Raw genomic sequence first — 24,189 nt, forward strand, 5'->3', positions numbered from 1 at the left:
GGGTAACCTCTGGAAGCTGCAAAAGACGAGGGAATGGATTCTCTAGCAGACCATTCAGAAGGAACCTAGCACTGCTGACACCTTAATTTTTGCCCAGTAAGACCCATTTCAGACTCTGAACTACAGAATAATAAAGTAACAAATGTGTATTGTTTCAAGCTCCTAAGTTTGTGGTAATTTGTTACAGTATCAATAGGAAACTAATACACAAGATTGCCTTTTCTCCTCCAGTCTCTGACTCTCTGAGTCTGTTTGCACTTCTGTGTTGTTGCACCTTCCAGTTTGTCATATTTTCTGGATGTCTCTGCCTCTCTTGACCTTCTTTTCAGTCTCATGTTATCTCTTTTCCTTCATTGTCCTGGCTTATCCCCAACTCCAAGGCCTCTCAGGATCTTTTTGGATCTGGGCTTGAAGTACTGGAGAAATGTCTCTGAGACTCCTCAAGAACCTCAATTGTCACCAATCCAAGTGCCTTGCTATGGCCCTCATGGGCTTGTCAGCGGTTAACAGCTTCAGTTGCACATTAGAATTATCTGGGAAACTTTAAAACTCCTGATGCCCAAGTGACACCTCAGACCAATTAAACGGACACCCTGGGGGTGGGTCCCAGGTGTCAGTACTTTTAAAAGCTTTCCAGATGGTTGCAGTGTTTAGCTAACAGGAGAACCATGGTCTTGAATGACGGCTGTTCATGTGGGCTGGTCACTCCATTTTGCTCCTTGTGCTCTGGCTGCAGTGCCTTCTACTTCTCGTTCCCCGAGCCACTGCTGGTGCGGCTGCACCGCCTTTGCACTCACTGTTCCCTCTGCCTGGGCCCCTGCTCCTCCAGAGCTTCACATGGCTTTCTCCATTTTCTCACTCATGTCTCAACCCAAAGGTAACATTCAGAGAGGACTTCTTTTACCACTTGTATCTCAAGTGGTCTTTCTCAAAGGTATTCACTATCTCTTTACCCATATTTATTATCTTCATGCTATTTATTACTGTCTGCAGTGATCTATTTATGGACTTTTGATGTGTCTCTGTCCAATAGAAGGTGAGTGAACAGGGACCTAACCTTCATGTTTGCTGCTGCTTTCCCTGCACCTAGAATAGCACCTGGCACACAGTCAGCCTTAATAAACTTAGGTCCAGTTGTTGAATTGCTCATTACACTGATTGGACAACCTGAGAGGGTCATTTGATTGACTCTGCTTAGACCTTCTTATCCTTCTCAACCAATAGTCATGCCTCACTGGCAGATGCCAGGCATAGTGCTGGGAAACGCTCAGGTGTTATAAGACATATGGTGCTCAGTCTGGCTAGGAAGTTCATGACTAGTTGTCATTTGCCTTCCATAACCAGATGGTGAGGATTCCTGCTAACAAAGCATCAGCTCAACCTTTACGTCCAGGTTACAATGAGTTCATACCTAATGGTTCCAGGACACCAGTAAGGGAAAAGGCATTTGGAGACAGACTCTGCCTGGAAACATCTCACTTCTCAAGACCTTCTCCCTCCCTTTCCAGAATCCCTAACAACTCTATACTTGATGCTCTAATCACCACTGAGTTCATTCTATTTCCAGAGAGCCAGAAGGGTGGATGTGATTTTACGTGTGTCAGCTTGGCTTGGCTTGATCCAGTTGACCATGACGGGATCCTGTCTCTCTGCTAGGATCCACATCTTCCTTCCTTAATGTAGGTGTCTCCTAAATAACTGTTCCCACCCCTTTCCAACTCCTTCCAGGATTCCTACTTGTGGTGTTGTGGAGTGTGACAGCTTGATACCCATGCATGGCACTAGGGAATGTCAGAGGTGGGACAGGCCTTGACCCATCCCTTCTTTTCCTTCTCTTCATTTTTTTCTTCTATCCTTTCATTTATCCTTCAGTCTCTCTCCTCCATATTAGCAACATCCTCATGCTTTTAAAAGCCCCACTAGTCTTTAGAAGCTTTCCAGAGGGAGAGATAAGTATGATAGAGGAGTTTGGGAGACTGATCACAGGACAGTCATGGTCCCTGCCCTTAGGAAGTGTGATAAGGCAGGTAAAGTGTATCCATCATCAACAAAATTTAGCATTACTGAATTAGGGTGTGTAAGAAGGCAGATAAAGTGTATCCATCATCAACCTAAATCTGTCATTACCAAATTTTAAAGGTGCAGTGACGGGGGAAGAGTGAGGGAGGATTCTGTTGACAGATTGAAGGACAAGTGGGAATCATTTCAGGAAGTCTTCCAGGAGGAGGTGACCTGTAAAAGAAGTGAAGGTTGTGTTGACTGGAAGAGAAGTGAAAAGGCCTGAACAAAGAATGTGAAGCATCTCTGGGGAGAAAACTGGATTGGGAAAAGAAGGGCTAGGAGGTAAGAAATCAAAATGAAGGAGACCATAATTCTTTCTCAATTCCCACTCACTATGCCCTTCCCAAAGATTTTCTTCAATCTTGATTGTTTCTATAATGACTCATTTTTTTAAGGACTTGGATGTTTACACTGTGCTTTAACATAGCTGGAAATTCTATTAGACCAGAGCAGTTTTCCTATGCAACTACTCCAAGGACTCTGAGTAAAACTTGCCCTGATGGGGGAGGCAGTTTTAGGAGGGGTGGCTTGAGGCAGGGATAGAGGAAGAATATCCAGCCAGATTAATCCAATCAATCTTGATACTCAAATACATGACTATGTTATAGAAATGTCACCTTCATAGTCCATTCTCTCATTTAACCCTATAATAGCCGTGAGGCCAAGTCCAGCCATGTTACACTGAGGCCCCTGGGATTCTGGCATGGTAAGGGATTTGACTAGGCTCAAACAGCCGGCAGGAGGCAGAGCCAGGACTGAAATTCAAACCTGCTGGCTCCAAAGTCTATATTCTTTTCCTTAAATATTAATTTCTTTCTTTTGAGACTTTACTTTCTCTTTTCTGTCCCTCCTGGAAGGCTCCTTCCTTTCTCTCCCTTTAAATCCCTGCTTAGGGCTAACAGTTTCTCTGAAATGTTGCCCATCCTTCAAGTTCATGTAGGTGCTCACTTATTCTCTTTCCTTCCAACAACCCACCTATCAATGTCACTAATATTTCTATCCATCATTTAAATTCTCCCCTAAATGTTCACTATTTGTCTTCTCAGTTTTCTTATTTATTTATTTATTTATTATTATTATACTTTAAGTTTTAGGGTACATGTGCACAATGTGCAGGTTAGTTACATATGTATACACGTGCCATGCTGGTGCGCTGCACCCACCAACTCGTCATCTAGCATTAGGTATACCTCCCAATGCTATCCCTCCCCCCTGCCCTCACCCCACAACAGTCCCCAGAGTGTGATGTTCCCCTTCCTGTGTCCACGTGTTCTCATTGTTCAATTCCCACCTATGAGTGAGAATATGCGGTGTTTGGTTTTTTGTTCTTGCGATAGTTTACTGAGAATGATGATTTCCAATTTCATTCATGTCCCTACAAAGGACATGAACTCATCATTTTTTATGACTGCATAGTATTCCATGGTGTATATGTGCCACATTTTCTTAATCCAGTCTATCATTGTTGGACATTTGGGTTGGTTCCAAGTCTTTGCTATTGTGAATAATGCCACAATAAACATACGTGTGCATGTGTCTTTATAGCAGCATGATTTATAGTCCTCTGGGTATATAACCAGTAATGGGATGGCTGGGTCAAATGGTATTTCTAGTTCTAGATCCCTGAGGAATCGCCACACTGACTTCCACAATGGTTGAACTAGTTTACAGTCCCACCAACAGTGTAAAAGTGTTCCTATTTCTCCACATCCTCTCCAGCACCTGTTGTTTCCTGACTTTTTAATGATTGCCATTCTAACTGGTGTGAGATGGTATCTCATTGTGGTTTTGATTTGCATTTCTCTGATGGCCAGTGATGGTGAGCATTTTTTCATGTGTTTTTTGGCTGCATAAATGTCTTCTTTTGAGAAGTGTCTGTTCATGTCCTTCGCCCATTTTTTGATGGGGTTGTTTGTTTTTTTCTTGTAAATTTGTTTGAGTTCATTGTAGATTCTGGATATTAGCCCTTTGTCAGATGAGTAGGTTGCGAAAATTTTCTCCCATTTTGTAGGTTGCCTATTCACTCTGATGGTAGTTTCTTTTGCTGTGCAGAAGCTCTTTAGTTTAATTAGATCCCATTTGCCAATTTTGGCTTTTGTTGCCATTGCTTTTGGTGTTTTAGACATGAAGTCCTTGCCCATGCCTATGTCCTGAATGGTAATGCCTAGGTTTTCTTCTAGGGTTTTTATGGTTTTAGGTCTAACATTTAAGTCTTTAATCCATCTTGAATTAATTTTTGTATAAGGTGTAAGGAAGGGATCCAGTTTCAGCTTTCTACATATGGCTAGCCAGTTTTCCCAGCACCATTTATTAAATAGGGAATCCTTTCCCCATTGCTTGTTTTTCTCAGGTTTGTCAAAGATCAGATACTTGTAGATATGCGGCCTTATTTCTGAGGGCTCTGTTCTGTTCCATTGATCTATATCTCTGTTTTGGCACCAGTACCATGCTGTTTTGGTTACTGTAGCCTTGTAGTATAGTTTGAAGTCAGGTAACGTGATGCCTCCAGCTTTGTTCTTTTGGCTTAGGATAGACTTGACGATGCGGGCTCTTTTTTGGTCCCATATGAACTTTAAAGTAGTTTTTTCCAATTCTGTGAAGAAAGTCATTGGTAGCTTGATGGGGATAGCATTGAATCTGTAAATTACCTTGGGCAGTATGGCCATTTTCACGATATTGATTCTTCCTACCCATGAGCATGGAATGTTCTTCCATTTGTTTGTATCCTCTTTTATTTCCTTGAGCAGTGGTTTGTAGTTCTCCTTGAAGAGGTCCTTCACATCCCTTATAAGTTGGATTCCTAGGTATTTTATTCTCTTTGAAGCAATTGTGAATGGGAGTTCACTCATGATTTGGCTCTGTGTTTGTCTGTTGTTGGTGTATAAGAATGCTTGTGACTTTTGTACATTGATTTTGTATCCTGAGACTTTGCTGAAGTTGCTTATCAGCTTAAGGAGATTTTGGGCTGAGACAATGGGGTTTTCTAGATATACAATCATGTCGTCTGCAAACAGGAACAATTTGACTTCCTCTTTTCCTAATTGAATACCCTTTATTTCCTTCTCCTGACTAATTGCCCTGGCCAGACCTTCCAACACTATGTTGAATAGGAGTGGTGAGAGAGGGCATCCCTGTCTTGTGCCAGTTTTCAAAGGGAATGCTTCCAGTTTTTGCCCATTCAGTATGATATTGGCTGTGGGTTTGTCATAGATAGCTCTTATTATTTTGAAATACATCCCATCAATACCTAATTTATTGAGAGTTTTTAGCATGAAGCGTTGTTGAATTTTGTCAAAGGCCTTTTCTGCATCTATTGAGATAATCATGTGGTTTTTGTCTTTGATTCTGTTTATATGCTGGATTACATTTATTGATTTGTGTATATTGAACCAGCCTTGCATCCCAGGGATGAAGCCCACTTGATCATGGTGGATAAGCTTTTTGATGTGCTGCTGGATTTGGTTTGCCAGTATTTTATTGAGGATTTTTGCATCAATGTTCATCAAGGATATTGGTCTAAAATTCTCTTTTTTGGTTGTGTCTCTGCCCAGCTTTGGTATCAGGATGATGCTGGCCTCATAAAATGAGTTAGGGAAGATTCCCTCTTTTTCTATTGATTGGAATAGTTTCAGAAGGAATGGTACCAGTTCCTCCTTGTACCTCTGGTAGAATTCGGCTGTGAATCCATCTGGTCCTGGACTCTTTTTGGTTGGTAAGCTATTGATTATTGCCACAATTTCAGATCCTGTTATTGGTCTATTCAGAGATTCAGCTTCTTCCTGGTTTAGTCTTGGGAGAGTGTATGTGTCAAGGAATTTATCCATTTCTTCTAGATTTTCTAGTTTATTTGCATAGAGGTGTTTGTAGTATTCTCTGATGGTAGTTTCTGTTTCTGTGGGATCGGTGATGATATCCCCTTTATCATTTTTTATTGTGTCTATTTGATTCTTCTCTCTTTTTTCTTTATTAGTCTTGCTAGCGGTTTATCAATTTTGTTGATCCTTTCAAAAAACCAGCTCCTGGATTCATTAATTTTTTGGAGGGTTTTTTTGTGTCTCTATTTCCTTCAATTCTGCTCTGATTTTAGTTATTTCTTGCCTTCTGCTAGCTTTTGAATGTGTTTGCTCTTGCTTTTCTAGTTCTTTTAATTGTGATTATAGGGTGTCAATTTTAGATCTTTCCTGCTTTCTCTTGTGGGCATTTAGTGCTATAAATTTCCCTCTACACACTGCTTTGAATGCGTCCCAGAGATTCTAGTATGTTGTATCTTTGTTCTCGTTGGTTTCAAAGAACATCTTTATTTCTGCCTTCATTTCGTTATGTACCCAGTAGTCATTCAGGAGCAGGTTGTTCAGTTTCCATGTAGTTGAGCGGTTTTGAGTGAGATTCTTAATCCTGAGTTCTAGTTTGATTGAACTGTGGTCTGAGAGATAGTTTGTTATAATTTCTGTTCTTTTACATTTGCTGAGGAGAGCTTTACTTTCAAGTATGTGGTCAATTTTGGAATAGGTGTGGTGTGGTGCTGAAAAAAATGTATATTCTGTTGATTTGGGGTGGAGAGTTCTGTAGATGTCTATTAGGTCTGCTTGGTGCAGAGCTGAGTTCAATTCCTGGGTATCCTTGTTAACTTTCTGTCTTGTTGATCTGTCTAATGTTGACAGTGGGGTGTTAAAGTCTCCCATTATTAATGCATGGGAATCTAAGTCTCTTTGTAGGTCACTCAGGACTTGCTTTATGAATCTGGGTGCTCCTGTATTGGGTGCATATATATTTGGGATAGTTAGCTCTTCTTGTTGAATTGATCCCTTTACCATTATGTAATGGCCTTCTTTGTCTCTTTTGATCTTTGTTGGTTTAAAGTCTGTTTTATCAGAGACTAGGATTGCAACCCCTGCCTTTTTTTGTTTTCCATTGGCTTGGTAGATCTTCCTCCATCCTTTTATTTTGAGCCTATGTGTGTCTCTGCACGTGAAATGGGTTTCCTGAATACAGCACACTGATGGGTCTTGACTCTTTATCCAATTTGCCAGTCTGTGTCTTTTAATTGGAGCATTTAGTCCATTTACATTTAAAGTTAATATTGTTATGTGTGAATTTGATCCTGTCATTATGATGTTAGCTGGTTATTTTGCTCATTAGTTGATGCAGTTTCTTCCTAGTCTCAATGGTCTTTACATTTTGGCATGATTTTGCAGCAGCTGGTACTGGTTGTTCCTTTCCATGTTTAGTGCTTCCTTCAGGAGCTCTTTTAGGGCAGGCCTGGTGGTGACAAAATCTCTCAGCATTTGCTTGTCTGTAAAGGATTTTATTTCTCCTTCACTTATGAAGCTTAGTTTGGCTGGATATGAAATTCTGGGTTGAAAATTCTTTTTTTTAAGAATGTTGAATATTGACCCCCACTCTCTTCTGGCTTGTAGAGTTTCTGCCGAGAGATCCGCTGTTAGTCTGATGGGCTTCCCTTTGAGGGTAACCCGACCTTTCTCTCTGGCTGTTCTTAACATTTTTTCCTTCATTTCAACTTTGGTGAATCTGACAATTACGTGTCTTGGAGTTGCTCTTCTCGAGGAGTATCTTTGTGGCGTTCTCTGTATTTCCTGAATCTGAACGTTGGCCTGCCTTGCTAGATTGGGGAAGTTCTCCTGGATAATATCCTGCAGAGTGTTTTCCAACTTGGTTCCATTCTCCCCGTCACTTTCAGGTACACCAATCAGATGTAGATTTGGTCTTTTCACATAGTCCCATATTTCTTGGAGGCTTTGCTCGTTTCTTTTTATTCCTTTTTCTCTAAACTTCCCTTCTCGCTTCATTTCATTCATTTCATCTTCCATCGCTGATACCCTTTCTTCTAGTTGATCGCATCAGCTCCTGAGGCTTCTACATTCTTCACGTAGTTCTCGAGCCTTGGTTTTCAGCTCCATCAGCTCCTTTAAGCACTTCTCTGTATTGGTTATTCTAGTTATTCATTCTTCTAAATTCTTTTCAAAGTTTTCAACTTCTTTGCCTTTGGTTTGAATGTCCTCCCATAGTTCGGAGTAATTTGATCGTCTGAAGCCTTCTTCTCTCAGCTCGTCAAAGTCATTCTCCGTCCAGCTTTGTTCCATTCCTGGTGAGGAACTGCATTCCTTTGGAGGAGGAGAGGAGCTCTGCTTTTTAGAGTTTCCAGTTTTTCTGCTCTGTTTTTTCCCCATCTTTGTGGTTTTATCTACTTTTGGTCTTTGACGATGGTGATGTACAGATGGTTTTTTTGTGTGGATGTCCTTTCTGTTTGTTAGTTTTCCTTCTAACAGACAGGACCCTCAGCTGCAGGTCTGTTAGAGTACCCGGCCGTGTGAAGTGTCAGTCTGCCCCTGCTGGGGGGTGCCTCCCAGTTAGGCTGCTCGGGGGTCAGGGGTCAGGGACCCACTTGAGGAGGCAGTCTGCCCGTTCTCAGATCTCCAGCTGCGTGCTGGGAGAACCACTGCTCTCTTCAAAGCTGTCAGACAGGGACATTTAAGTCTGCAGAGGTTACTGCTGTCTTTTTGTTTGTCTGTGCCCTGCCCCCAGAGGTGGAGCCTACAGAGGCAGGCAGGCCTCCTTGAGCTGTGGTGGGCTCCACCCAGTTCGAGCTTCCCGGCTGTTTTGTTTACCTCAGCAAGCCTGGGCAATGGCGGGCGCCCCTCCTCCAGCCTCGCTGCCACCTTGCAGTTTGATCTCAGACTGCTGTGCTAGCAATCAGCGAGACTCTGTGGGCGTAGGACCCTCTGAGCCAAGTGCGGGATATAATCTCCTGGTGCGCCGTTTTTTAAGCCCGTCGGAAAAGCGCAGTATTCGGGTGAGAGTGACCCGATTTTCCAGGTGCCCTCTGTCACCCCTTTCTTTGACTAGGAAAGGGAACTCCCTGACCCCTTGTGCTTCCTGAGTGAGGCAATGCCTCGCCCTGCTTCGGCTCACGCACGGTGCGCGCACCCACTGACCTGTGCCCACTGTCTGGCACTCCCTAGTGAGATGAACCTCAGATGGAAATGCAGAAATCACCTGTCTTCTGCGTTGCTCACGCTGGGAGCTGTAGACCGGAGCTGTTCCTATTTGGCCATCTTGGCTCCTCCCCCCATCTTCTCAGTTTTCTCAAGGCCTTCTTGTTCTCCAAGCCCTTAGCAGTTTCCATTTTTTTTTTTTTGTTTGTTTGTTTGTTTGTGACAGAGTCTCGCTCTGTCACCAGGCTGGAGTGCAGTGGCATGAGCTCAGTTCACTACAACCTCTGCCTCCTGGGTTCAAGCGATTCTCCTAGCTTAGCCTCCCAAGTAGCTGGGACTACAGGCACATGCCACCACACCCAGCTAATTTTTGTATTTTTAGTAGAGATGGGGTTTTGTCATGTTTGCCAGGCTGGTCTTGAACTCCTTACCTCAGGTGATCTGCCTGCTTCAGCCTACCAAAGTGCTAGGATTACAGGTGTGAGCCACTGCACCTGGCCAGCAGTTTCCTTTTAAGAGCTGTGCATTCATTCATCCATTCATTTAATCATTCAACAACTATTTACTAAGCACCTACTATGTACCATGCGTTGTTCTAGGAGTTAGGAAGAGTGGAGAGCAAGCCAGCCATAGTCCCTTGTCCTCTGGTAATTTAGATTCCATTGAAAAAGGCCAACAATAAGCAAGTAAACAAATAAATTAACAAGATAATTATAGATTGTGATCAGTGCTTTGAAGAATACAAAGTGGGTAATATAAGAGGAATTAACTGGAGGAGGTGTGCACTACTTTTAATAGGATGTTAGAAAAAGCTCCTCTGAGAAGGTGAAGAGAGGGAGCCAGCAATGAGAAGAGTTGGGAGAGAGCAACAACAGCAGATGCAAAGACCCTGAAGTGGGAAAGATCTTGAACGTATGAAGTGGGATGACAATGGTTTGATGTGAGATTGGAGAGGTACTAAGAGCCAAGCTGTGTAGGACCTTAGGGACCAGGATAAGGAGTTGATCGTTGTTCTAAGAGCAGTGGAATGCCACTGAGTAGCTGTAAGTGTGATATTTACGTGGTCTAATGGATTGATTGATTGATTGATTGATTGTAGAGATGGGATCCGGCTGTGTTGCCCAGGCTGATCTCAAGCTCCTGGCTTCAATCAATCCTCCCACTTTGGCCTCATCTCCCAAAGAGCTGAGATTATAGGCATAAGCTACCACACTCAGCATGATTTATGTATTTTGAAGCTCATTTTGTCCTAGTAGTCTTTTCTCTCAGTTTTCTTTTTCTAATTCCTATTCCCCTTCACATTATTTACATTCAAGACGATCATCTCATTTCCATGTCCACTTCCCCATCGGGGAGAATAGGTCTTCCAAACAAGGTATTTATTAACCTGTACAAGGATCGCTAGTAAGTGCACCAAATATAGCTAATTTGATTCTGGCTCCCACCTCTATTAAAGACTTCAAAGAATCATAGATTTGTAGAATGCTAGAGTTGTAGGGAACATTAACAATGTGTAGTCTAGCCCTTACAACATGGATAAGAAAATTGATTCCCAGAGAGATGATCTTGCTGGTGTGTAAGTAGGGAAAACTTTCGGATCCTCATCTGTCAAGAATGCAGGAGCAGGTTCCTTCCTGTCTTTTAGGCGCCTGTTTCAATTAAGAAAAAAAAATATTGGCTGGGCACGGTGGCTCATGCCTGTAATCCCAACACTTTGGGAGGCTGAGTTGGGCAGATCACAAGGTCAAGAGATCGAGACCATCCTGGCCAACATGGTGAAACCCCGTCTCTACTAAAAATACAAAAGTTAGCTGGGCATGGTGGCACATGATGTAGTCACAGCTACTTAGGAGGCTGAGGCAGGAGAATTGCTTGAACTCAGGAGGCAGAGGTTGCAGTGAGCAAGATCACTCCACTGCACTCCAGCCTGGCGACAGAGCGAGACTCCGTCTCAAAAAAAAAAAAAAAAAAAAAAAAAAAAAAAAAAAAGTCAGGATGTCCTAACTGGTTTATTGGCTTCAAGGTCAATCACCATAGGTCAGTAGTGCTGCAGCTACTGCTAGCATAGCAGCCACGGGCCCAGCTGCCCTACCCCCATGCACATTTCATGTTTATTGGGGCTCATCCATGCTCTTCTATAGGAAAATAGCCTCTACCTCACTTCTGCATTTCAAATCTCATAGAAATACATTTAGTTGGAAGGACTTAATTCATGTCCAGAATCCTAGCTCCAAAAATTCTGAGAAATAGAGTTTTTTACTTTTCAATCTCTTCAATAGAAAGGAAATGAGGTCATTCCATATATGTAGGTTTGGCAGATAAAATGCAGAACATCCAGTTAAATTTGAATTTCAGATAAACAATGATTTTTTAGTATAAGTATCTCCCAAATACTGCATGGGGCATACTTACACAAAATACTTGTTTATTATTTATCTAAAATTCAGATTTAAATGGACATCCTGTACTTTTATTTGATAAATCTGACATTTTGACAAATCTCCAGCACAGAGACTGAGAGCAGAAGTCCTTAATTTAGATGGGGGACATTGAGGAAGGCCCATCTTCCAAGGTGATATTTAAGGGGAGACCTGAGAGATGAATAAGAGATCATCATGCTCAAAGAGGAGAGAAGGGCATTGCAGGCACAGGTAACAGCTTTGCAACAGCCTAGAGGCAAGAACAATTTGGGCTAATTTAAGCAAAGTTGACACATGATGAGTTAGGAGTAAAGATGGCACAAGATAATAATGAAGACGTAGGCAGAGACTAGAGCAAGTGAAATCTTAAGTTTTAGTAGTGGAATAAACAAGAGTGGAATGGGGGAGACCCAGGGTCACTACCTGCTAATGGCATTCCCAGAGTTGTATACGGCAGTCATCCCAAAGAGAGAAAACTATGCCAGTAATTTAGGTGAGAAAGGATGATGGCTTGAGATAGTGGGATCCAGTGGAGCTGAAAATGAGCAGGCCAATTTGAAGTGTATTTTGTAGATAGAATTGACAAAAACATTGAAGTGGCCTTTGGGTGATGAGGGAGGGGAAAATCAATCATGAATTTCTAATTTCTGGAATGGATGACTGTGTAATTGCAAGGCTGTTACAGAAATGGGCTACATACTTAATGAGCTTTGGATGTTGAGATGGGATCACAAGAGAGGGGGTAAAGACAAAGTGATGAGATATTTTGTTTCAGTTGGACCACAGTCCACAATAACTGCTTCTCCTCTCTGCAGAATATTCACTAACATGCACGAGACCTGTTTGCTCTGTCCTTCTCTCCTTCCTCCCTGCCCTCCCCTTCATCATTTTCTCCTTTTTATTCTCTGTCCTTTCTTTCTGTTCTGTAGTCATCCTATTTCCTTGACAGAATCGAAGCCTCAGCCAGTGAGATAGATGGAGTGTAGGCAGCTAGAAATGGAAAGGATTCCTGTGCTTCTGTGATTCACAGTCTCCCAGTGGGCCTTTAAACCATTTAACCTCTGTTGTCCAGACCCCAGGAAGAGGGGAGGCTGGAAGAGGGAAAAGAACTTGGACTGGAGCAGCAGGGGAGGCCCTGGAGGAAGGAGCAGGTATCATCCTCCAGCAAATGGGCAATCCATTAGTCCAAACTCCTCATTTTAAAATTGAAAAAACTGAAGCCTTTGCCCATTTTGACTAAACCAGATAAGAAATTATACAGTATGAAGGAACATTGACACCACTTAGAAACAGTAGGGTGTCAAGATTTGACTTGACTCTTGTTAGTTTTGTGACTATAAAGTGAAAACAATTATATCAAAAAATTTGTTTTAGGGATGATAAAAGTAATTTATACTTATTCGTTCAAAAGTACTTATTAAGGACCTACTATGTGCAGATACAGTGTTGAAAGCTAGGGACTCAGTGGAGATCAACACAGACAGGAACCTGGCCTCATGGGAATTCTAAACTCTAGCGGGGAGAACAGCTCATTAACAAATAAATAAGTGTAATGTATGGTAGGTACCACGAAGCAACATAAAGCTGGGAAGAAAGACACAAATGCTAGCATAGTTTTCTCTCTTTGGGATGACTGCCTTATACAACTCTGGGGAATGCCATTAGCAAGTAGTGGCCTCGGATCTTCCCCCATTGCACTCTTGCCTATTCCACTACTAAAACCTAAGTTTTTGCTTGCTCTAATCTCTAAGTCTTCATTATTATCTTGTGCCATCTTTACTCCCAACTCATCATGCGTCAACTTTGCTTAAATTAGCCCAAATTGTTCTTGCCTCTAGGTTGATGCAAAGCTGTTACCTGTGCCTGGGATGCCCTTCTCTCCTCTCTGAGCATGATGATCTCTTATTCATCTCTCAGGTCTGCCCTTAAATATCACCTAGAGAGATGGGCCTTCTCAATGCTGGATGGAGTGCTGGATGGAGTAGATAGAGTTACAATCTCAATAGATTCTATTTGAGCAAAGATTTGAAGGTGGTAAGAGAAGTCGTCAAGTGCTTATCTGAAGGAAGGATCATCCAGATGAAAGGAAAGGCAGAGGCAAAGGCTGTGATGCTGAAGCTGCTGATGTGTTTGAGATTTAACATGAGGCCATGTGGCTGGAGCAGAGGGAGCAGCGGGTGTGGAGTAGGAAGTCAGAGATGGGACTGGCCGACTGTGCAGGGCTTTGTCATTGTCAGGACTTCATTCAGTACTGGGTGAGGTGAGCCTACCAGGGGTTGGAGTTGGTGGGAAGGGGCTGACTTCTGGACGTGAGTTACTGCATTGGTTGTGGAGTGTGAGAGCAAAGGAGGAGGCAGGAAGCTCTAACGAATTTGGCCCCACCATGGGGAGGATGGAGCTGCCAGTGACTGCAGTGGGAAGAACTGTGAGGAGCTGGCCTGGGCAGGAATATCAGGGGTGGCATGTTGGACATGTGAAGCCAGGAGGCCTGTGGGCCATCCAACAGTGCTGTGAACTGTGCAGCCCGATGTAAGCATATCTGACATTAGGAGTGGTGGAGAAACAAAAAGAACAAGGATAGTTCATTTTAACACAGTAATAATTTTATAATTTTATAATTTTCAAATCATTAAAGATTTTACTACTTTCTTAACTACTCCAGGAGCCTGTGTCACATTCCAGTCACAGGGAGGAAACTGGGGGCCATGCAGGATAAAGGTCAAAGCCTGCATGCTGGGACTCAAGTGCTTCCTCCCCAACAGTATTAGAACACCAACTCCCAGGAGCACAGAGACTTGAAGAGAGTGTCCGGGTCGTGGACTATGAGTCAGAGAAACCAAGCCAGGGGCATGCAAGGCAGCACGAGGCAGAGCAGGGAAACCCAGCAAGGGAGGTGGCAACGCACAGTGACCTAGAAAAGCCTGATGAGCTGAGAGCCAGCCGACAACAGGCCCCATGTGCCTCTGTGTCTTGGTCCACATGATAGACTCTCCCTCCCTCCCTTCCTTCCTCTCCTCTGGTGACCAGTAGCTAAAACATCACTGGCACGCTGCTGGCATCCAGCCTGCCAATTAGTTCAGGAGCCACTCCCTCTGACTGCCTCCTGAGCCTCAGATGTTACCTCCCCTGTCTCCCAAACACACCCCTCCAGCTCTGTCCTGCCTGCCCTGAATCTCTGGAAGGAAAACTTGCCCTGGGACCTGCCTTGGACTCTCTGGTTCCCCTCATCCAGCCCCTCCCTGCGCAGAACATGGCATCTCGTGCCCTTTTATCTGCCATTTCTGGCCACCTTTGCAAGCGTCCTTGAAACCAGCGCTTGGTAGAGTTATCCACGCCCATGTGAGGCTCCCCTGCCCCCTGGGTGGTGTATGTGGCAGGAGGAGCAGGGAGGAGCTTCAAGGAAGCAGAGGGAAAGGAACCTATAAGAGTTCTTGGGATGGCTTCCAGGAAGCTGTGAGGACAGAGCTATGCTGAAAGGAGAAAGGCAAAGGCTACAGAAAAGTGAACACTGAAGAGGAATTAGGCAAGAACAAAGCCTACCAAGTTAGAAGAAGGGAATGAGAGGGCGAAACAACAGCACCAGAAAGGAATGAGGTTGCCGGGCACGGTGGCTCATACCTGTAATCCCAGCACTTTGGGAGGCCGAGGCAGGCGAACCACCTGAGGTCGGGAGTTCGAGACCAGCCTGACCAACATGGAGAAACCCTGTCTCTACTAAAAATACAAAATTAGCTGGGTATGGTGGTGCATGTCTGTAATCCCAGCTACTCAGTGAGGCTGAGGCAGGAGAATCGCTTGAACCCGGGAGGCGGAGGTTGTGGTGAGCCGATGCGCCATTGCACTCCAGCCTGGGCAACAAGAGCAAAACTGCATCTCAAAAAAAAAAAAAAAGAAGAAAGAAAGAAAGAAAAAGAAAAAGAAAGGAATGAGGATCAGGAGTCGGGGGGAGAGACATGATCTTACAGAACGGGCTGGACCTGGGGAGAGGATTTTGTCAGAACTATGGAAAGTTTGAAATGAGGTTGAAGAAGGAGTGATGGTAATACTTTTTACATTTTTAGAACATCTTCTTATATTTTATTTCATCATTCATTCCTCATAGATCTCATTACCCCCATTTTACGGATCAAGAAACTGAGGCTCAGAGAGGTGATGTGAGTTGTCCAAGATCACACAGCTAATAAGAAGGTACATTCTCCTCTATACCACAGAGCACCTCTTCTGTGTGTGGCATATTACATAGAAAAATGAGATTAGACATTTAGAAGTTGAGGATTCTCATCCCGCAAACACTTATGGGGCACTTTTTATGTGCCAGGCAACATGCTAAGCACTGAAGATACTAAGACGCCCTGCTTTCAAAAGACTGACCTTCTGGTTAAGGAGTGATATGAGTGGTGCAAACCAGGTGGGGGGCGGGGCTGCCCATAGGCTGAGGGCTCCTCTGGGAGAGGGCAGCTTAGGGAAGCTTTTACAGCGGATGTCTGGGAAGAAGGGAACCACTTCCCCAGTGGGTGGTGGAAGGGGATAGCAGAGGGCATTTCAGGGAAAAGCAAGCAAGCAGAGTGTGTGGGAGAGCTCCAAGGAGTTGAGATCCACAAAAGAGGGATGTGTAGGGAGCTGGATGGAAAAGCTAAAGAAATAATGGGGAGAATAGTGATATTAATTAAATTTGTGATCTGTTTAAAACCATTGCATAGGGCAAGGCACAGTGGCTCATGCCTATAATCCCAGCACTTTGGGAGGGTGAGGCAGGAGGATCACTTAGCCCAGGAGTGAGAGACCAGCCTGGGCAACATAGCAAGATTTGTCCCAATGAAAAAAAATACTAAATGTTTTTAAAAGGCACAATGCATAGCTGTAATAACAGTTGAGGAGGAATCTTACAACTACAGTGTTAAAGGAGACAAAGGGTGTTTCTTCATTATGTTGCGGTGATGGAAACTTAAATGAGATAAGGATATATTTGAGTCTTCCTATATGCCAGATGGCATGCAAAATGTTTTTATATACATTATGTAATTGAATTCATGTAACAGTGAAAAATAGTGAAGATGACCTATTTGGGTTGACATGAGAAGATCTATAAGATCGTGGTTAAAAGAAAAAGTCAGTGCAGAACATTATGTACTATAAATTATGACCCATAGTAAAGAAACACATACAGGGGAAGGGTTTTGGTCAGAGGGAGTACAGAGCCAGGGCAGCCAAGAGAAGGAGGTGTGTCTGAGCCTGGTGCAGGCTGCGTGCCTAGGGCTGGCACTGAGAGGGACATGGAGCTTGTCATACTGAGGGCATAACTCAATCCTGTTACACTAGGCAAGTCTCAGAGAATTTTCAAGTGGAAGTGAAACACACTCTGGTGACACAGGTTGTAGAGATTGTTCTGTCTGCAGGTGGATAGATTGGAGGCAGGAGGAGAGCAGTCAGGTAGGAGAGATCCCGTGGGGTGGACAAGCCTGGCCCCTGGAAACAGAGTCGGGGGAGAGGAAGCAAGGGTGAGAAACTGGGCTGAGGAAATGAGTGGGTGACAGATCTTCACATGGCTGGTAGGGGGAAAAAAAAGGAACACAGAACACAATTAGATTATTTTCAGGATTTTCATCGCAGTTATATATGCAAATAAAAAGTTAAACAAGTTGATGAGTTAATTTTTTAAAATGGCAGCCCTCACCCCCATCTCCACTACTTTCAACTCTTTTAGCTGTTTTGGTGTTCACCTTCACATCTGTAAATACAAGGATTATATTATTACTATTTGCTCTTCTAATTTTAGGCATTATCTATTATTGATTTGCTGTTATCAAAGATATAGCTTTTTCTTGTAACCACAACCTCACTTGATCCCACAAACACATATCCTCACTATTCCCACTGTCCCTGGTTTATAGCTATTTCAAATACACACACACACACACACACACACACACACACACACACATTTCTATGTGTATAAAACACAGATATGTAAATACACACAAACATGTCCTGAAGGATCAAATCAAACTAGGATTCAGGAAGATCATAGCTAAAGAAGACTTTCGGCTTGCACGGTGGCTCACACCTGTAATCCTAGCATTTTGGGAGGCCAAGGTGGGCGGATCACCCAAGGTCAGGAGTTCGAGACCAGCCAGACCAACATGGCAAAACCCCATCTCTACTAAAAGTACAAAAAATTAGCTGGGTGTGGTGGTGGGCACCTGTAATCCCAGCTACCTAAGAGACTGAGGCAAGAGAAGCCCTTGAACCCGGGAGGCTGAGGTTGCAGTGAGCTGAGATGTGCCAGTGCACTCCAGCCTGGGTGACAGAGCAAGGCTTCATAAAAACTTCATAAAAAAAAAAAAGAAGAAGAAGAAGAAGATTTGAACCAAAAGGTAGAGAAGCACAAGACAAGAGGCCGTGAAAAAGCAAGTCATGCATTGGTGAGTATGTGTGTGGAGGGCAGGGATGAGGAAAATTTCAGAACAGAATCAATTCAGCCTTGTGCAGAAAGGAATAATGAAGGCAGGAGGCAGCAACTTCAGGGCTGTCTGATTTGAAGGAAATATTAAAGCCTTTATCAGGAAAGGGGAATCACTAACAGTCAGACAGAAGCACCAGACTGAAGGAAAAAAGATCACAGCCCCATATCCTTAGAGAGTATCAGAGACCTCAGATGCCAGGCATCTGCCATGCTGTTGTTTTACTCTGCAGTGAGTCACTGGATCCTTGAAACTGGGGGCAAGGGTGAGATCATTACCCCAGAAGGCAGGGAGCAGAGACAACAAGGCCCTTGGGGTCCAGGCAGCTGAACCCGTCTGGTCAGAGGCCACTGTCACAAAACCAACAAAGAATTCATATCTAATAGGTTTTCCTCAGGGCTCAGATGAGTAGGTTTGGGAGTTACTGGGAGGCTGTGATACCAGGCAGGATGACAAACAAAAACAGTCAGCCAAGAAAACAAGCTTCAGAGTGTTTGCCCTGGGAGAACAATGGATGTCCGGGTAGAGCCAAAGCCACTGGCTCCTCCCTCCCCACAACTCAGAGCCACCAGGGACCTGGGCCACGTGTCCCTTTCCATGACCATGGGGTGTGTGACTGCGGGAGGCTGAAAGTGTCAGCACTGTGACCTGGAAATATATGCCTGGATTGGGGAGGTGGACACCTTGGAAATAAACTCCAGACTTCCTCTATTTGAAAAATTTTGTGGCCGGAAGCGTTGGCTCAAGCCTGTAATCTCAGCACTTTGGGAGGCCGAGGCAGGTGGATCACGAGGTCAGGAGATCGGACCAACTGGCTATGGTGAAACCCCATCTCTACTAAACAAAATACAAAAAATTAGCCGGGCATGGTGGCAGGCACCTGTAGTCCCAGCTACTGTGGAGGCTGAGGCAGGAGAATGGCATGAACCCGGGAGGCAGAGCTTGCAGTGAGCCGAGATCGCACCACTGCCCTCCAGCCTAGGCAACAGAGCAAGAGTCTGTCTCAAAAAAAAAAAAAAAAAAAGAAAAAAAAAAAAGAAAAGTTTTTTGCATTGAACTGGATTCTGCACATATCTATACACATGCTCCAATCCCACTAATTCATCTTTTTTCCCAATGCCCAACCTAAACACTGAGAGAAAAAAAAAGAGCAGCCTCTGACATTCAGAAGTTGGCCTAACAGAGCTAAACCATGTTATTCACCTAGTAGGCATAAACTATATTACAGAATACCAATCTCAGACAAGTTTACTCCTAGACCTTGATAAAGTGAGACAATGCAAGGCTGCTTCACAAGTTTTTCTGAGCACAGATCCAAAAAAAGACACTGTGCCACCCACAAAATACCAAACACCCCTTCTCTTGGTTAACAGAAATGTTTGCTACTTCTTTACCAATTATAGCTTTCCCCTCATTCTAGTCTCCCCTCCCTATAGAAAATATTTATTTGGGTATTCATTCACAGGATCTGCTCTGCTTTCTAACAGCATTAATCCAGAGCAAACCCCCACTTCCTTAGACCTTTCCCCAAATCACCTAACCAAAACCCAAACCCTATCATAGGTTTTTTCCTAACACTCTTATTAAAATGTCCCACACTCCCCATGGGGTGCATTCTCCATTGCTGCAAGGAGTAATAAACCCAGCATGTTTAATGACAGTTATGTTCCTGGGGGGTCTTTGGCTGGAAAACACGGGTAACAGTGTTCTTTGCTTCCTTCTTAACTCTCTGGGATCTACATTGAAGACCTGGCCCCATGTTGTGTGGGAGAAGCTGGTACAAAGGCAGGAGGTGCTCTTAGAAAGGACAAAACCAGTAATGCATTCACTCAACAAATATTTATGGAGCACCCACACATGCCACAGACTGTTCTAGGTACCAAGGACAATAGACAAATAAAGCAGGATCCCTGAATTTTTAGGAAGCTCTCAGTTGGGGTAGAGGTGAGAAACACACATAAACAGATCGTCTTGATTGTGGAGATTAGTGCAGTGATCAAAGTATGCCCTGGGGACTGCTATGTGCTTATAGATGTGGTGCCTAAACCAGTGTCGGAGAGGAGTGGGGGATCAAGAAAGGCTTTCAGGGAAGGAGGCGTTTGAGGCCCTGGAAGGCTGAGGACAAGCTAAGAAGAAGGAACAATGAAAGAGGGTCAGGGAGATGTAAACAGTGTGGTGAGTGGGGAATTTTAGGCAATTTGGCCTTTCTGGAGTGAAAAATGGGAAGCAGGTGGGGGCAGGGGTTAGGCTGAAGGCAGGCCAACGTGCAGTTCAGGCTTTATCCTTTAGAGAAGGGAGGCATTATTGAAAGTCCAACAAGTTCTAACATGACCAGATTATATTTTTAGAAATCATTTGAATATCTGCAACTTACTTTAAAATGCATAAAATTATAAGATGGATAGAAGGATGAAGGAATGGGTCGATGGAAACATATTTGATAAAGCAAGTACAGTAAAATGCTAATGAGAAAATGTAGGTGGTAATATTTGGATGGTCACTGTAAAATTCATTCAACTCTTCTGTCAGAAGATTTTCAAAATAAAATTTTAGAAAAGCATAGACTTTGGCCTGGGTAATGGAAGATGGATTGGGCAGAATAAGTCTGGAGGCAGGGAAATGAGAAAGGCAGCTGTCATAATCCAGGTGAGGGCTGATCTAGACAGTGCTAGGAGGAAGATGGGTGGAGTCCTGTGGTAGGCGCTAACATCAAGGAGGTTGGGGCCTCAAGGACTGTAAGAATGAGGAAGAAGAAAGAGTTGAAGATAACACCTAGGTTGGGTGACTGTGTGGGGGTTGGTAGCAACAATGAGTATAAAACAGGCAGCAGGATCAGGTCTGGGAAGGGGGACAAGATGACTTCATGACCCCAGAGTTTCTATAGGAATATGCTTTGGGAGCTTGCAGACCCCTGGCTCCTCAAGGGGGCCACTCTGGTGGGGGAAGGGGCTCAGTACCGTGGATCTCCATCTCTTGACACTTGCCCCAGTTTTCACTGGATTTCCCCAGGAGTGGAGTGGCTCTTACTCTCCCTCCCTAGGGAGCAGCTCTTCCACCCTCCTAATGACTTCTCCACTCCTGCCATGCTTTTTCCTCTTTTAGCTTTTGAAAACCATCTTTCTCCTTTCTCTGGTTTTCCAAGCCAGATACTCAAATTTGACCCTCCCTGGAGAGTACACCCTCTATGCTCACTATCTCTTTTCCCTTCTGCTCATCTTAGCATCCCCCAAGTGTTGCCCTTGGCTCTTTTCCAATACCATTGTTTCTTTTTTATGTTCTCGCTTTCCTGTGGGTGACAGATTATGGAGTTGTGGGTTGAATTTTGTCTGCCAAGGACATATTGAAGTCCTAGCCCCAGGTACCTACGTATGTGGCTTTATTCAAAAATAGGGTCTTGGCCAGATGAGGTGGCTCACCCCTGTAATCCCAGCACTTTGGGAGACCAAGGTGGGCAGATTGCTTGAGCTCAAGAGTTGGAGACCAGACTGATCAACATAGCAAAACCCTGTCCCTACAAAAAATACAAAAATTAGCCAGGCATGGTGCTGTGTGCCTGTAGTCCCACATGCTGTGTGCCTGTAGTCCCACCTACTCGGGAGGCTGATGTGGGAAGATCACTTGAGCCAGTGAGGTGGAGGTTGCAGTAAGCCGAGATCATGCCACTGCACTGCAGCCTGGGTGATAGAGCCAGACCTTGTCTCAAAAAAGAAAGAAAGAAAGAAAGAAAGAAAGAAAGAAAGAAAGAAAGAAAGAAAGAAAGAAAGAAGAAAGGGAGGGAAAGAAGGAAGGAAGGAAGCAAGGAAAGAAGGAAGGAGGGAGGGAGGGAGGGAAGGAAAGAAGGAAAGAAAGAGAGAGAGAAAAAGAAAATAGGGTCTTTTCATCAAGTTCAGATGAGGTCATATTGGATCAGGGTGGGCCATTATAAGAGGAGGGAAATTTTGACACAGACACATGGGAGACGGCCATGTGAAAATGCTGTCAGAGATTGGAGTGAGGCATCTACAAGCCAAAGAATGCCACGGATTGCCAGCAAACACCAGGAGCTAGAAGAGGCAATGAAGCATTTTTTCCTAGAGCCTTTGGAGAGAGCATGGCTCTGCTGACACCTTGACTTCAGACTTCTTGCTTCCAAAACTGTAAGAGAATGTGTCATTGTTTCAAGCCACACAGTCTATGGTGATGTGTTATGGAAGCCCTAGGAAACTAATATAGCAGATAAGTTGTGTGTGTGTGTGTGCATGTATACGTGTGTGTGTGTCCGTCTGTGTAGGGAAATACCGTGGAAAGTTACTATTTGTTATAGCCATTTTATCATATATTTTATGAGATTTTATCTTTTCAAGTCAACTTTGCATGTGCTTTGTGTTGAAAGACCTGAGTTTGAACATTCATACCATATTTGGAATATGGGAATGTAACCATACCTAATTTAAGCAGTTGTGAGAAGCAAATGGAATAATGTATCTGAATCCATTTAATAAACTGTTCAACATTGTAAACATGCTGTTAGTAGTATCATAACTGTGTGAAGAAGCAGAAAACACTTTGGACTGGGGGATGGAAATCTTGGCCAGGGTTCAGTATTCACTTGACTTCCCGGCCATAACATCGAATGAATGGCCAGGACTCTCTTTGAGTAAATGAGCTTCTGAGAGGCTCCTAAAGAGGCGACCCCCATCCCTCACGGCTGAGAAGAGTGTGATCATCGTTTAAGGTTAAGGTCCAGGTTGGAAGACCTCCCCAAATTTAAACCTTGCTACAAAGTATTCTTTCATTTACTTTGAACCCTTCCTTCATTTACATCCCTTTAGGAACCAGGCCCTGTAGTGCTCAAGGAGGGTGGGAGAGTGAAACGAAAAGGAGTGAGATGCTGCTTCTGTTCTCGAGGACTTCACAGTCAACTTGCGGTAAGTGCTGCAGGGAGATGGCTGTAGTGGCTTTGGGAGTGTGCACACTTTTCCAACAGAAAGTACCAGGAACCCTGCCTGGGGAAGGCTTCCCGGAGGAGGTGAGGTGGAGCTGGTCCACGAAAATTGAGTGGGATTTCCAAGACATCAGTCTTTCGCGGGAAAAGAGAAATTAGGGCATGGTTTTAATTTAGTAAATATTTATTAATCAAGTACCCCATTCTAGGGTCCGTGCTAAGTGTCTGGGGTTGGTAGAGTCAGGAAGTATAAAATCAACTTAAGACATTTGGGAAAGATCTCCCTTTGTAGTAAGGAAGTTGAATCTGTACACAATGAAAGGAAACAAGGTAAAAGGCGCGAAGTCCATGACCATGACGAGGGCTGTGAGAACTGTAAATAGGGATTTGGGCAGTCCCGGCTGATTCTGAATAAAAGTCCGGAGGGGCGTTACTTTCGGGTCTCGGCCTGTGTGTCCCCAGCCCTTTGTTGTCCCCTCCGCAGGAAGGTGAAGGCTGTTTATGTAATCGGCGGCGCCTCGCGGGCGACTGGGGGAAGTGGATGGGGGAGCCTGGCCAGGGCTGACTGAGCGCCCCTGGAATCCGTGCTCCGGGCGTTGGCTCACTCCCGCCCCGACACCTGGGCCCGCCCTCCCGCTGCGCAGCCACGCGCCGGGCAGCAGCGTGGGCTGGCGGGCGACTCCCCACGCCTCCTGCAACACCGCCCTCTCCCTACCGGAGCGAGGAGGCAGGAAAAGCCTAGAGACGCCTGGTCCCATCCGCCTACCCAGTCCCCAGCCGGCCTGAAGGGAGGAAGAGGAAGGAACCCATAATCATCCCAAACTGGCGCAAATGGTGGGTTTTACTGTCCAGAGGTCATTTCGTCTCTGCGTTTCCAACCTCCTCGCCCTTTTACTTTTTTTGGGCTCACTCAGGAAACTGGAGCAGTCCTTCTCTGGGTTTAACTTCAGTCCCTCACATGGCAACACTAGGAATGATCAAGACTTTTGTTGCGGGTAGTGGTGATGTGGGTTTGAGAGGAGGATGCATCTGGTCGTGGGATTAATTTTGGTTTCTGAGTATTACGAAGAACTAGAAAAGTTTTGCGTATGTCGGTTTTCAGGATGGGGTTCAGATGGGTCAAAGCCCTGTGCAGGTCCACGGGGGCTGCAGGAGGTAAAATGGAGGAGGAGACAGGCGGACAAGCTGGGGTCAGTGGTCCACTCCCCTGTGTCTGTCTTAACCGAGATGCAGCTGGATGCTTGCACGTGGCAGCTTTTTCAACCACCTGTTGATAGACGTTCGTTTCCAGTCTTATCCTGTTACCAACTGTGCTGCAATGAACAGCCTTGTGTATAGCCTTTTAGTGTATTTGAGCCTTTCTTTTCGAC

The 24,189-nt window shown here is 44.4% G+C and overlaps 1 annotated feature.

The window, feature by feature from the left end:
- Nucleotides 22,943-23,452: an enhancer, noted in NCBI's record as "H3K4me1 hESC enhancer chr6:30068196-30068705 (GRCh37/hg19 assembly coordinates)". NCBI's record gives its function as "activates a minimal SCP1, AML or CMV promoter by ChIP-STARR-seq in primed H9 embryonic stem cells {active_cell/tissue: H9 hESC(primed)}" and the evidence as "EXISTENCE:reporter gene assay evidence [ECO:0000049][PMID:30033119]".

This window comes from Homo sapiens, chromosome 6, assembly GCF_000001405.40.
Source record: "Homo sapiens chromosome 6, GRCh38.p14 Primary Assembly".
NCBI classification, from domain to species: Eukaryota; Metazoa; Chordata; class Mammalia; order Primates; family Hominidae; genus Homo; species Homo sapiens.